The sequence below is a fragment of the Homo sapiens genome, chromosome 4 (genome assembly GCF_000001405.40).
Source record: "Homo sapiens chromosome 4, GRCh38.p14 Primary Assembly".
Lineage (NCBI taxonomy): Eukaryota > Metazoa > Chordata > Mammalia > Primates > Hominidae > Homo > Homo sapiens.
The window spans coordinates 6,241,097-6,255,742 of NC_000004.12; the positions used below are offsets into that span (position 1 = coordinate 6,241,097).

The 14,646-nt window shown below is 52.0% G+C and overlaps 1 annotated feature.

Moving 5' to 3' along the window:
- Nucleotides 4,857-5,487: an enhancer, noted in NCBI's record as "H3K27ac-H3K4me1 hESC enhancer chr4:6247680-6248310 (GRCh37/hg19 assembly coordinates)". NCBI's record gives its function as "activates a minimal SCP1, AML or CMV promoter by ChIP-STARR-seq in naive H9 embryonic stem cells {active_cell/tissue: H9 hESC(naive)}" and the evidence as "EXISTENCE:reporter gene assay evidence [ECO:0000049][PMID:30033119]".

Consider the following 14,646-nt stretch of genomic DNA (forward strand, 5'->3'; position numbering starts at 1 on the left):
CATGCACCTCTCATGTTCCTTTCAGAACCAGCAGTAGAGGCTGGAGGTGGAGCTGGCAGGGCTGAAGACCTATGGGGGGGACCTGGAGGAGTTTGAGACCCTCAGCATGGTGCTGATGCTGTCCCACTTCAGCCCGCAAGTGATGGACACCGGGTGAGCCGGGCCGTGGAGGGCGCTCGCTGCCCCCTCCACTCTCCCTTCTCCCCTCTCCCCTGCCTCATGCTCCTTCCGGTCCTCACTAGGCCATACAGCCAAGGCCCTGGGACACTCCTGTCTGTCCATTGACTTATTCGTACATGCTTCACTCTTTTCTTCACTCAACAAACATTCCTGTGTGTCAGCGCATCCCAGCTATGCTGTGTGCTGGAGGATGGGGAGATAGACAATGACTCCGGTCATCCCTAACCCAGCCCCATGGGTACCAGGCCCTGAGCTGGGCACTGGGCAGAGGAATGCAGAGATGAAGGAGCCCCTGGTAAGGAGCCTGTCAGGGGACAGGGGCAGGGGGCTGGGGAGTCTGCCTCCATGGACAAGGTGCCGTTGGCACTCAGGTGGGAGGCAACGAGTTATGCAGCAGGGTGGCTCAGCGAAGGGCCAGATAGAGGCCAGAGCCTTCCAGCGGGGCCCATGGGGACAGTTACAAACTCCTTCATCAAAGGGGACACCGGCACGCAGGCAGGGAAACCTGTGTGTGCAAAGGGAAGGAGATTGGAAATGCAGAGGAAGGGAGGGAGGGAGGAGAGCAGTAGATGATGCATCCTTGTGCAGGATCGGAGGATACACGCTTTTTTTTTTTTTTTTTTTGACGCAGTCTCACTCTGTTGCCCAGGCTGGAGTGCAGTGGCGTGGTCTCTGCTCACTGCAAGCTCCGCCTCCTGGGTTCACGCCATTTTCCTGCCTCAGCCTCCCGAGTAGCTGGGACTACAGGCGCCCACCACCAAGCCCGGCTAATTTTTTTTTTGTATTTTTAGTAGAGACAGGGTTTCACTGTGTTAGCCAGGATGGTCTCGATCTCCTGACCTCGTGATCCGCCTGCCTCGGCCTCCCAAAGTGCTGAGATTACAGGCGTGAGCCACCATGCCCAGCCGGATACACTCTTTTCTTTAAAGAAAAACTCATGAATGCCATTTCGTCCTAAAATATTCAGACGCAATCCTTTGGACAGTCAGAAACTGCGGCCATTCCCCTTCCTCTCCCTGGAAGTTTTCGCTGTTAACATTTTCATGTGCATCTTTCCTTCCAGGCATTTTTCTATTTATGAATGAATGGGTTGATAGTTGAATAGTTGAAAACTGGCACTTCTCAGGACACCACCAGCAAGCAGGCTTTGTCCTTGGAGCAGGGTCCCTGGGGGTCATGTGCTGAGCCAGGTTTCAGCACCTTAGATGGTGGATGGTCTGGGGGACATTTGCCAAACAGACCTGATGTGGCCCCACTAGTGCGTTTCTGACCAGCCGTCAGCACCATACAAACACTAGCAGAGAAGCTCGCCTGTCAGCAGCGTGATTCCTATTTCTTACCCATGGGAGGGCACTGTTCATATTGTTCTTGGTGTGCTGTTCTGCGCCTGACTTAGCACTCCTTCCCATCTACATGTAGTCCCCTTTGTTGTCACCTGTGTATGGTGTGATGCAGCCAACCCCAGCACCCTGTCCCCGCTGATGGACACTGCAGTGGGGACAGCCTACGGTTACACCAGCACACGATGGTGCAGTGACTCCTAGGGCACACCACGGCTGGACACAGGCTGGAGCACTCCTGCTCTCAAACAGTGAAGCTCCGACCCAGGCCCCTGGCATGAGAGGGGTGGGTGGGTCCTGCTGCTGCAGAAGCTTGGAGAGACCCTTCCCCTCCATGCCCCTCCCATTCCCCTAACCTTGAGTGAGAGCATTGGCCTTGGAGTGATTTCCATGTGAAATTTTACACATACATCATGTAGGATTGGACAAAAGTGGTCAGGCTCGAGGGCTACTAAGGAAGAAGGAATAGGCAGACTTGGGTCTTACCAGATGCAGGGAGCAGGTAGGAGGCACACTCTTTAGTGTTAATAAGCCCACCAGCCCCCATTCTTTCTTCCTTGACACTCAGATGCAATTCCTGCAGTCATGACATTGGCTGCTTTGGGAAGCAGCTGCAGAATGCTGTGGGCTGTTGGGCAGTGGGGGGCTGGCTAACGTCAGGTGTGTTCACATGAGCGTCCTCACAGGGAACGTGTGATGGAAGGTGCTGGAGCTGGTACCTGGGCAGTGTGATGAGAAAGGAACGTGGCTTTCAGAAAGCAGAGTTACAAATGCATCTAGCATCAAGTAATGTCCAGAAAGCAGTTTTGCCAGATTCAGCTCCTTCCTGGCTCCAGCCACTCTCTCTACTTCCTGCAGTTCCCACTCCAGTCCGCTCACTAAGTTCATTCCTTCCAGAAGACATCTTCTGAGCACCTACTGTATGACAAGCCCTGGGCTTGGTGCTGGAAGTCCAGAAATTAGAGATGTTTTATGACTTCACAGGGCTCTGAGTCTCAGAAGTGTGGCACAGGGGTAGTGAATCAGGGGTACTGGTGTGGTCAAGGCATCGGGGTGACCTTGAGTCATGTACACCAGGGGTACTGGGGGTGCCAAGGTGGGGAGCAGAGCTTCAGCCTTCAAGACCCAGTCCCAGGGCAAAGTGAACCTCCGAGTTCTTTCCCAGGCCCAGTAGGTCTCCAGGAGGGTTTAAGAGGAGAGTGAATGAATTAAGATCAAGTGAGACTGGTGCTCCCCCAGCTTTGTCCTGGCAGTAACTCTTCCTCTCCCTTCCCTACTCTGCAGCATAAGGCCATGTCCTGCCCCAGGACCAGCCTCCAGGACCCCTCCCAGGTGCTCAAGTGTAGCTCCCATAGCAGCAAAGGAAGGATGCAAAGTCTCAGGGCTTTGCAGGTGGACAGTCAGACAGCTTTGCTGACCAAGGAGAAAATAAGTTTGTGTGTGTGTGTCTGTGTGTGTGTTCATGAGTGTGCATGTGTGTGCATGCATGTGCATGTATGTGTGCACGTGTGAGTCTGTGTGAGCAACCAGCTCAGTCTGTGTCTGTGTCTGGGGCTCAGCAGAGCATCTGCTCTGTAAGTGTTCCTACTGTGGACTATAACCTGGGCAGCATTGATTTGGGAAGATTTTGGTAACATGGCTCCATCTTTCCACACCTGACATCCCTTAGAGGGACATGTACACACCCACTCTGACCATGTGCACAGGCGCCAAGCAGCCATGGGGACCAGAGCGCTTACGGTCTTGGCCTCTGGAGCCCTGATTTTGAGCCCATTGCTACCTCCTGTGGGCCACCACGGTGACTTGGGGCACAGTTGGTTTTCTCCATTGAGGAGACAACCAACAACATTAGGTCAATAATCGCTACTTGTCAGCCTTAAATGGTGGGGTGAAGATGGAGTAAGGCAATCAACTTGTCCAAGTTTCGGTCCCCAAGAAACCAACCCCAAGATCAGCATTTGCCTGCAAGCGGGTTATCTGGGAGGTAATCCCAGGTAGGGGATGTTATAAATAAATTTTCATGGCACTCGGACATAAATTTAATTTTCTCAGCAAGGCAATTTTACTTCTATAGAAGGGTGTGATTCGTGGATGGAGCAATGGCAAAAGCACACCTGAACAAGGGAGGGGAAGGGGTTTTTATTTCTGACTCAAGCAGCCCCTCCTGCTGTGTCATTCCCCTATTGGCTAGTGTTGGACTGCACAGTCTAAGCTAATTCCAACTGGCCATTTCAAAGAGAGCAGGGGTACGAGCTGGAGTGGCGGGGTGAGTAGTTTGGCAGGAAAGATGGTTACAGAACAGGTGACTCAGGATGACTCAGGTCAGAGCAGGTGACCAGGGGTAACTCGGGACAGAGCTGGTGATAGAGGCAAGGAGGGGGTTGTTTACTGAAACTAGGGGCAAGGAGACGAAAAAAACGAGGAAGTTAAACTTTAAAACGAAGAACAAAGAACAGGGGAGCTGAACATACTGATACATTAGTTATTTGGAGAGGATCTCAGAACCCATTGTACTCAACAATTTACAGGCTAAAACCTTTGAAGAGGAATTTATTATATGCTATAGGGAGTTAGGGAAGAGAAACTGGGAAGGGAAGACAGCTTTGTGAGTTAGGGGGTTATCCTAGCCACTGGAGCTGGGAAAGCCAGAAGCCAGCGCAGCGCGTGCATCTGAGAGTCAACACGTGATGGCGAGGAAGCCAGGGTGTTTGTGCAGCAGCTCCCTCCAGTCTGCAGGAGGACCGCTTCCAGGAGGACTTCCGGCCTGCTGCACCAGTGGCAACCTGAGCACAGAAGGCCAGAAGAGCCCCTGGGCAGGGAGTGCGGTGCTCCCCCTGGGAGGCTGTGCCCTGGGTGCTCGGGTGTGGGGGTCGCCCGCGCTCCTGGGAGCCGAGCAAGGGCGCGCACCCCGCAGTGGGAGAGGGGCTTCCTGCGCAGCGCGGGAGGAGCTTCCAGGACGGGAGCTGTCTGGGGCAGAGCCCTGGCTACGGTGGCCTCGCAGCACAGCGAAAGCACAGGGACTGCGCAGTCGGGAGGCGCTTGCTCTCCGTGCAGACCCCCGGGTGCGCGGCCGCAGTGCCTGCAGCCATCGCCCTACGGGGCCTCGCGACTCGGGCATCGCCCCTGCTCTCCAGGCAGGACTAGAGCTTCCAGAAAGTCCCAGGGCACCCCTCGCGCATCCCAGGGGCCAGGCGGGCGCTGCAAAGCCTGCTGGGAGGTGTAGTTTTCGCTGAAGACGGGGCTGCCCAGAGCCAAAGCAGGGTGGGCTCCAGAGCAAGAAGCCATCGTGGACGCGGCGTCTGCGGGAGGAAAGCAGCTCCTTCTGGCTTCGCGAAGGCCGCCTAGTCCAGGAGCCCCAGCGCCCTTCTCCCAGCCAGGTGGATGACAGTTCCCAGCGCCTCGAAGGCCTGCTCTGTGCCGCGCGCCCTGCACACACGATTGCATTTCCTGCACGCAGCCCCCCGGCGGGGCAGGTCGAGCCGTTTACGGATGGAAGAGAGGAGCCCCACACCTTGTTGGAGGCGCCGTCAGCAAAGGCGAGGGCTTCTTTTCCATCCTGACTGTGTCTGTTCTCTGCTCTGACCGCGGGGCCTGCAGGGCTGTTAGCCCCATTTGCAGGAGGAAGGGCACCCTTTTCTTTCCAGACCAGTCTCTCCCTCCGGGCAGTTACCACCTCCTCCCTACCGGCCCTGCCCTCCCACTTTACCCCCTCCCCACGGTATCCGGCATTCTCCCTGCTTCCCCTCTGGGCTGGGAGCTCTTCCAGAGCCCGGACCCTGGTGCCAGCTGGGCCAACCTTGATGAGTGATTAACAGTCAGATTCTCCAAATTAGACTATGAATAGGATTCACAGATAAAGCAGATAAAAATACAGACACCACCAGCTAAATCTCAATTTCAGATAGACAACTTTCAGTGTAAGTCTTACAGTAGGTAGGTAGTCAGACAGGAGCAGGGCAGGAGAGCCACCACCGCCCCCCATGCAGCCAGTGCCAGGGAAAGTTGGTCTCCCACTCCGTAGAAACACTGGAAGCTGGTGATCAGCAGCTTTCCGAATAGATCGCAGGAGTTGGGCAGGTGGGCTCAAGCATTCACGCTAAGAGGCAAAATGGTGGAGTTTAACTGGTCTGTAACCTTCTAGGAGAACTCCACTGGTAAGGGAAGCACGCCTCAAGAGAGCATGCGTACAACTCTGGTAAACACACCGCAATGCAGCCCCTCCCAAGTACTGGCAGGCCACTGTGAATACAGACAGCCCACCCCAAAGGAAGAATCAGGGAGAAGGGACACAACCCCGAAGAAGCATGCCAACATATAAAACCCAAGGTCAAAGGTGAAACCGCACACTTGATCTCTCAAGTCACCCACGTGGCCCTCTTCCAAGTGTACTTTACATCCTTTCCTTCCTGCTCTAAAACTTTTTAATAAACTGTCACATTAGCTCTAAAACTTGCCTCGGTCTCAAACTCTGTCTTATGCCCCTAGGTTGAATTATTTCTTCTGAGGATGCAAAGAATTGAGGTTGCTGCAGACCCATATGGATTTGCCACTGCTAACGTAAGTATATCCCTTGCAATATTTGGGATATACTTATATAAAAGTTATCCGTTGTTTATGTGAAATTCAAATCTAACTGGATGTATTAGTCTGGGTTCTGTAGAGGGACAGAAGTAATAGGATAGATCTATATATAAGGAGAATTTATTAAGTATTAACTCACATGATCAGAAGGTCCCACAATAGGCCAAATGCAAGCTGAGGAGCAAGGAGAGCCAGTCCGAGTCCCAAAACTGAAGAACTTGGAGTCTGATGTTTGAGGGCAGGAAGCATCCAGCGTGGGAGAAAGATGGAGGCTGGGAGGCTAAGCCAGTCTCTCCTTTCACATGTTTCTGCCTGCTTTATCTTCTAGCCTCACTGGCAGCTGATCAGATGGTGCCTACCCAGATGAAGGGTGGGTCTGCCTTTCCCAGTTCACTGACTCAAATGTTAATCTCCTTTGGCAACACCCCCACAGACACATCCAGGATCAATACTTTGTATCCTTCAATCAAGTTGACACTTAGTATTAACCATCACACTGGGCATCCTGTATTTTATCTGGCAACCCTAACACTGACTATGTAGCTCATTTAGCTCAGCCCCTTCCTGTCACCATAGGAAATACAGGTGCCCAGAGGGGGAAAGGGGTCCTCCCAGACACACAGCAAATTGGTAGTAGCTATCCCCAGGCACCTGGAACTGAGACAGGGCTTTTCCACAGAATAACACTAAAGTGGCAGTTTCCAAGTGAGGAGGGAGCAGTGCCATGGTCCAGGAGGTGCAGTGCGTGTCTTGGGCAGCAAGAGGAAGGATTTACCTGCAGATGGTGGGCAGGGTTAATTCTGGCCTTGGTGCTACCTCCAGAAGCCTGCAGGACCTGAAGCCCACCCCTTCGCCTTTTTTCCCCACTGCCACAAGCGAGTTAGAATAGCTGGGGGATCTAATACTTCCAGTCTCGATGTCAGCAGACACGCCCAGTCCCCACACTCAATCTTATCTCCACCTTAGCTCAGGTGGGGCACTGAGCAGGGCACTCCCTCTCTCAGCCTCAGGTTTCAGATGTATAAAATGGGATATCAATACCTGACGGGGTTACTGCAAGGATGAAAGCAGATGCATTTTTTTAAAGTGCCCTGTGTGATGCTTGTATCCTGCAGGGGCTCTAGACCTAGTTATTCATGTTGTTATTGACAGTCACTCTCCCAGGATCAATGCTGGGAGATGCAGTGATAACAAAACCCAGATGGACTGCCTGGCATGTGCCATGCCTGGGCTGACTGTCTCGTGTAATCCCTGTGGTTGAGCCTTATTGCTAAAGTGATTCCATTCACAGTGCACCTTGGGGTTCAGGTCGGGCCTTGGGTTTCATGTCTGGCCAGCAAGCAAGCCCCCCAGCTGAGGCGCCCACACATCTCCACCCAATGAGCCCGCACTTACAGGACCTAGGGCCACCATTCTGGGTCATTGGGGATGAAACAGCCAAACCTGGGCCTTCAGCATTGCGGGTGAGGTCGAGGAGCAGAGAGGAGTGACAGACACAGACATTGGTGCACATGCGCCCCCTCCTAGTGGGTCGGGTCGTCGATGCCAGCCTGGCCTGCACCTGGAGCTTGGGTCCCAAGCCTCAGCAGGACATTCTTCTCTGGCCAAATTTAAAGTGCCCCAGGAAACCAAATCACTAGGGGTAACAGAGCAAGCAGAGCTGTGGCATCACAGTCTCAGTCACCCTGCTGGGACAGGAGGCATGGTAAGAAATGAATTTTACATATGGCCCAGCACACAGATATAACTAAGACCAAGCCCTTGCCCAACAATATTTACTCCACTTCAGAGGTGCGCTCTGACCCTTTGTTTTCTTTTCTATTTCATATGTTTTAGCTACTGCACACAGCCCACTGAATTGCTTTCAGGACTTCCTAATAAAGCATGGGATGCAGCTTTAAAATCTTAGACAATCCTCATCACAGACCCTTTAAATTTGACGACCCACTTTTATGGCCAGACAAGTTGAAGTCGTGAGCCGTGAACTATTTCCTCTCTTCACGCCGGGAAGTGCCTAGACCACAGTGGGGGGCCGGCCAGCCCTTCCATCCCAAGAGCCAGCCCCTGTGGCTCCTGCGGCCCCTGCATAAATATGGAACTCTCAGGCCAGGATGGGAACTGCCAGGGCTCAAGCAGTAAACTTTATAAGTTATTACAAAACAGAAGTGTACACAGGGACACTGTAATAAAGCGTATTGGGAGTTACGGGAACTCTCCAACAAGTTTAGAATCTCTGGTTTCAAAAACTATTGCAACATTATAATAAACAAATATCCAAAAGCTTAGAAATAGAAATTAAAGATAAAGATGGTCACGTTTGACCAAAAGAACAATATTTTCGTACTGAGCTTTGATGATACAATTATTAATGAGGAAGATGATTTTAAAATTAAATTCCCCTTGTAATTCAAGATACAGTGATACAAGGCATAAACGGGCAATTACGCTATAGTGCATTCAATCCTTAAAGCCACCGCTGGTTTTCTGTATAACCCCCACAGGTTGCAGGAAGGTCAGCCATGAAACATTAAAATACCACTGTCTGTCTACATTTAAAATTAAATTCAGATTCACATAAAAATGATTTGTATAAAGAGTTAAATATTTTTAGAAAAATTGTTCTGCAAGAATCATCAGCTCTAGATATACCAACATTTGTATTTCAAAATTATAAAAAATGTATCTCAAAGTTATTATAGCCTATAAGATACTCTTAATAGCTCCAATAAAAAATGCATCAGCAGAAAGGTCCTTCTTAAAATGGAAAGTGTCCTAAAATGATTTGTGAGCTTGTATTTGCCAACAGCAACTGATGTCACATTCAATTATATCGATTGAAAACAAAGTTGCTAAAAGTGTAAGCTTTGATAACCTAATAAATGAATTTGCAGAAAAGTGAGCCAGGGAAAGCTTCTAATCCAGTTATCACATAAAGTATTATTTGTTTTATTGTATAAATAATCACACCCAAAATATTATTTTGACAAATTTGTAAGTTTATGTTGTTACTCATGCATCACTATTATCCCTATTACATTGCATAAGTAATAAATTTTTCAAGGGAAAAGCTTTCTATTTCACCCCTGTAACTGCACTTTCCTCCTGCTTTTTGAATAAGGGGCCTGAATTTTTATTTTGCACTGGGCTTTTCAAATTATGCAGCAAGGGATGATCCAGCAGGTGGAGAGCTCTGAGCTCCGAGTGGACTGTGCCGTGCTGTCTGTGATATCTGCTAACATAGAATGTCTTCCGATATGTTACTGTGCATGTGGGGAGTACTGGCTTTGAATCAAAAGATCCTTGGTGAAAACCCCTGCCTCACCACTATGCGTCCTTGGGGAAGTCACCTCTGCACCTTTTCTTTGACGTCAGGTAGTGAGATGGCACAGGGAAGCGCCTCCTGTGGGCACCTGCATAGAGGGGAATGTAGGTGGCTCTTAAGTGCTGAATCTCTTCCCGACGCAAAAGTGTGCTCTAAGCACCAGCCGCATCGACATCACCTGGGAACTGGTTACAAATGCCGAATCTAGAGCTCGCCCCAGACCTATTGAGAAAGAATCAGCATTTTAATAATATTCCAAGATGATCTGTAGGCCTGGGAGTGTCTAAGAAGCGTGGCCCTAGACAAACGGCTTGGGGATTACCTGAGTACTTTGCCGTTTAAATTTAGTCCTAACTATTGCTATTCAAAGAGTGACCACTAGAGGGCACAAGAGTCAAGTGATTAGTTGTTTGATTTGCCAACCAGGAGCTTGGAAAGAGAAAAATAAAATGTCACAAACAGGGCTGGGAGTTACCTCCAAGAGTCAAATCTTCCTCTACACCCCCGATCCCCACCCCAAAGACAAGAGCTTTCTGCTGACCTCCTCAAAAGCATGGGTTTTTTTTGGGAGGGCCAAGGTGAGGGTTGGGTTTTTTGTTTGTTTGGGGGGTTTTGTTTTTGTTTTTTTGAGGCAGAGTCTTGCTCTGTCACTCAGGATGGGGTGCAGTGGCATGATCATAGCTCACTGCAGCCTCAACCTCCCAGGCTGAAGCAATCCTCCCCATCAGCTTCCCAAGTAACTGAAACCACAGGTGTGCACCACAATGCCCAGCTAATTTTTTTATTTTCATTTTTGTAGAGACATGGTCTCACTATATTGCTCAGGCTGGTCTCGAACTCCTGAGCTCAAGTGATCCTCCCACATCAGCCTCCCAAAGTGCTTGGGTAACAGGTGCGAGCTTCCGTGTCCGGCCTCAAAGGCATGTTTAATCGGAAATGTGCATTGGCCATGGGCCTCCAGATCTGAGGTCGGAGGACTGATTTCCACAGCGGAGGCCCTACAGTTGAGCCAGCCTGCAGGGATGTGGGAACCCAGGACTGGGGGGTTTGGGGCTTGCACGGCACTCACTGCCACCAGGTGACCTTGGGCAAGTCACTTCTCTCCTGGCCCGCGTGCCTCTATCCTTAAAGTGCAGGCAGTTGGCGCGCGAGATTCCCGGGGTCCCTCTCGGTTTTAAAGCCTAGGCTTGCATAGTATGGGTCTTTTCCTGTTGCAGCTTTCTGGTTTGTGCCCCAGAATTTGCCAGGGAAATAGAACCAAGCCCCAAGCTTCTGTCTCCAGAGATAAGATGGCCTTCTCTTCCTGTCATTTAAGGCCCTGGGAGGCCCTAGAATTTGGAGTGTCTGGCAGGCCTGGACTGTTAAGGTGCCCAGCATTCCAGAGGCGATGGCACATTTGTCTGTGTCAAGGAGGCTCTGGGCATGGGTAGGGAGGTGCGAGGTAAGAGAGGGCAGAGCTGAGGGCACAAATCCAGCCATTTCACAGATGGGGAAACCAAGGTTCAGAGGAGGACATGGCTATAGCCCAGGTCCCTGTAGCCCGGAGTCAGTGGTGGAGCCAGGACTTGAACTCAAGTATTGGAGTGCAAAAGGCAGCAGCCCAAATGCTGACGGCATCCTAGCGAGGGCTCTGAGCCCTGGAGTCGAGTGGGTGCTTGTTGCCTGGGTCTCTGGGGGAGCTCGCACTCCCTGGCATTCTCATGGGCACCTCCTGCCCCAGGCAGAGCTCCAAGCCTTGGCCAGCAGAGCAGGACAGGCCTGCAGGGGCTGCCCACGGACCTAGTGTTCTCGGGGTTTCTGCCAAGGTAACAAGAGCAGGGAGGGCTCCCTCCCCACGCTGGATCCTGTCCAGTCCTCTGCTTGGCTCCAGGGGCACTAACTGGGACCCTCAAGCCTGCTGGGCCACAGTGGTAGGCCATACCATCCCAGAGCATGGCTCTGACCAGGCCACTCCCCTGCTTAAAGCCTCTAGGGGCCGGGCACAGTGGCTCAAGCCTGTAATCTCAGCACTTTGGGAGGCCGAGGCGTGCGGATCACAAGGCCAGGAGTTCGAGACCAGCCTGGCCAATATGGTGAAACCCCATCTCTACTAAAAATACAAAAATTAGCCAGGCGTGGTGGTGCCCACCTGTAATCCCAGCTACTCGGGAGGCAGGAAAATCGCTTGAACCCAGGAGGCAGAGGTTGCAGTGAGCTGAGATCCCACCACTGCCCTCCAGCCTGGGCGACAAGAGCAAGACTTCATCTTGGGGGAAAGAAAAAGCCTTTAGAGGCTCCCTATTGCCTGGGTGATACAGCAGGTGGCATCCTCACTCCTCAGCCTGGTGTTCAATGCCTTTGGCTTGGGACCCACCCTCCTTGGCCATGCACACCAAGCTGTCCTGCCCAAGGGCATCTCTTGCTGGGCCCACCTAAGCCCACGCATGCCCGCCCACCTCCCTCTTTCCATCTCTATTTATAGAGCCCCTGCCGGGTGCCAGGCAGTGCTCTAGGCACTCGGGGGCAATGGTGAGCAAACGGAGCCCTCCCTCTTTGGACTCATGTTCTAATGGGAGGCAGGCGAAGAAATCAACAGCTAAGCTTATGGCACCCAGCAGGGAGGAAGGAAGGGGGACGGGATGGGAGGGCTGCAGTGTCCCCTAGGGTGGCCAGGGAGGGTGTCTGAGAAGGTGGCACATGTGTTGGGATCATGAACTCTGGGCGTGGCTGTGTAGCATCCAGGCAGAGGGAACAGCAAGTGTAAGGACCTGAGGCAGGAGTAGGCTCAGCATGTTCCAGGACCAGCAAGGCCAGCTTGAGGCCAGTGAGCAAAAAAACAGTGGAGGTGGGAGATGGGGCCCACGGGTGACACCGCCAGGCCACGCAAGGCCTTGGGGGCATTGGAAGGACTTTGGCTTTTACATTGAGAAGACAGAGCTCCTGGAGGGCTTTGTCCAAGGACTGATGAGCCCAGACATCACTGGCTGCTCCGGTGAGCCTGGAGGGCAGACAGGGGAGGAAGTGGGGAGACCATGGGAGGTGACCCGTTTCCGTAAACCTGAACCCCTGCAGATGCCATTCCATCTACCTGAGCCCCTCCCTGCAAGCTGTGTTCGGAGAACGCCTATATGTTCACGAAAGCTAAGCTCAAATGCCACGTGCCTGCTCCTTCCTGCACCCCAGGTAGAAACACCCTCGTTTGCCTCTCAATTCCCACTTTCTTTGAGCACTGTTTTTGAAAGCACCTGCTTTGTAGACCCCTACAGAAATTCTCACTTGTGAGCATCTCCTGCTCTGGTACCAGATGCTGAGCCCTTGCAAGAGAGCAGGGAGCTGGGCTGGTTTTGCCATCATGGAGCAGTGCACCTGGCCTTCTGCACAGGCCCCCAAGCCACCCAGCAGGGCCTTCTGGGTAGCCTCACCCAGACCAACGGAATCAAAATCTGTGTTGGGGTGGGGGGCTTGAGCTTCTGCTTTTAAAATTCTTCCAGGGGTTTGGGTTAATTTGTCTCCCTGGGGCTTTGTGTTAATTTGTCTCGCTGGGAGTAGGGCCCAGCGAGATCGTCCTAAATTCAAATCCTGCAGCAGCCATAGTAGCTGTGGGATGTGGTCACTTAATCTCGCTGAGCCTCGGTCCCTCTTCTATAGCCCCAGGTGCCCAGCAGGCCGACAGAGGCTGTGGCCGCCTCTCCCACCTCTTTGAATTGGGCTGAGAGACAGACGCGCACCTTCCGGAGAGGACCGTCAGGCTGAAGAAGACACAGCTAGTGTCTAACGGGAGGGTAGGTTCTAAGGAAGTGAAGATTTATGAGAGAAATGAGTGAGTGTGATCATGTGTCTCATACCACAGCGTGTGAGTCCGTGCAAACGCCATGTCTGTCCCCTCTCAGGAGAACCCTCTCTCAGAGCTATGAAAATCCTTACCTTGCCTCATTCAGACTCTCAAAGTCTGAACTCTGTCACTTTAGAGCACAGGACTCAAATGTGACTGTGCTCAGGAATCAGATGGGGGTTGGGTTAACATGCACATTCCCATGGGCAGGTCCAGGGCAGGGCCCAAGATTGCATTTCTAGCTCATCCTTGGTGATGCTGGCACCACTGGTCCACAGATGGCACTTTGAGCAGCAAGATTGCAGCCCCTAAGCCCTACTGACATAGAATCTGCAATGTAACACTATCTCCAAGAGATGCGTTTGCACACTAATGTTTGAGAATTACCAGTGCAGAGACTTGGAAGAATGCTTATTTTGGGGTTCAGCATGCCCTAGAGAGAGGCCAAGAATACGTTTGTCATTCTGGTCTCCTTTCAATAACTGTGAGTGCCTCTTGGTTTATTGTTAGACATTGAGTTATTCAGATAATTCCTAGTCAGCTCCACAAAAGCCCTATGTGAGTGTGTGCAGTCATGTCTGGCCCCCAGTGGAGGAGTGGCAGAGGGTGTGTGGTGGCCCGGGAAAGGTGTGGGTTCTGCAGAGAGGGAAATTAACTTTGGTTAAGGCTGCTTACTGGGTGCCAGCTTTTGTGCTGATCACTGCGCCTGGATTAGTTACCGTATGTACTCCTCACAGCAGCCTTTGGAGGCAGATATTACTACTGTGTTACAGATGGGGAAACCAAGGTTGGGAGGAGGAAAGGCACTTGCCCAAGGCAAGCTGGCTAGCAGAGGGTGAGACCGGGATTGAAGTCAGGCTTGTCTGTGTGTCAGATGGGGCAAAGCTAGCTGCGGCAACAAATCAACCCCAGATTGCAGGAGCTTGGCAAACAGAAGTTCATTTTTGTTCCCTAACAGTGCAAGCTGGTACTCCTGGTTGATGGGCCACCTTCCTCCACATGGTGACTCAGGGATCCAACCTGCATCCAGCCTGTGGTATCACTCTCCCCAGGGCCTCGGAGAGCCCACTCCTGGCTGGCAGTTGGAGGATGACTGTGTAGAGACGGTAGAGTCTTCTTTAAACCCATAGCGCAGAAGTGGGACTCATCATTTCCCAGGCTTCCCATTGGTGAGAAGCAGTCACATAGTCACACGCACGGTGAGGGCACTGGGAGCTGTCACCCAGGCTGGAGTGCAGTGGTGCAATCATAGCTCACTGTAGCCTTGAACTCCTGGGCTCCAGTGATCCTCCAGCCTCAGTCTCTAGAGTAGCTGGGACTACAGGTGTGGGCCACCATGCTGGCTAATTAATTATTTATGTATTTATATTTTTTGTAGAGACGGTGATATGGTTAGGCTTTGTGTCCCCACC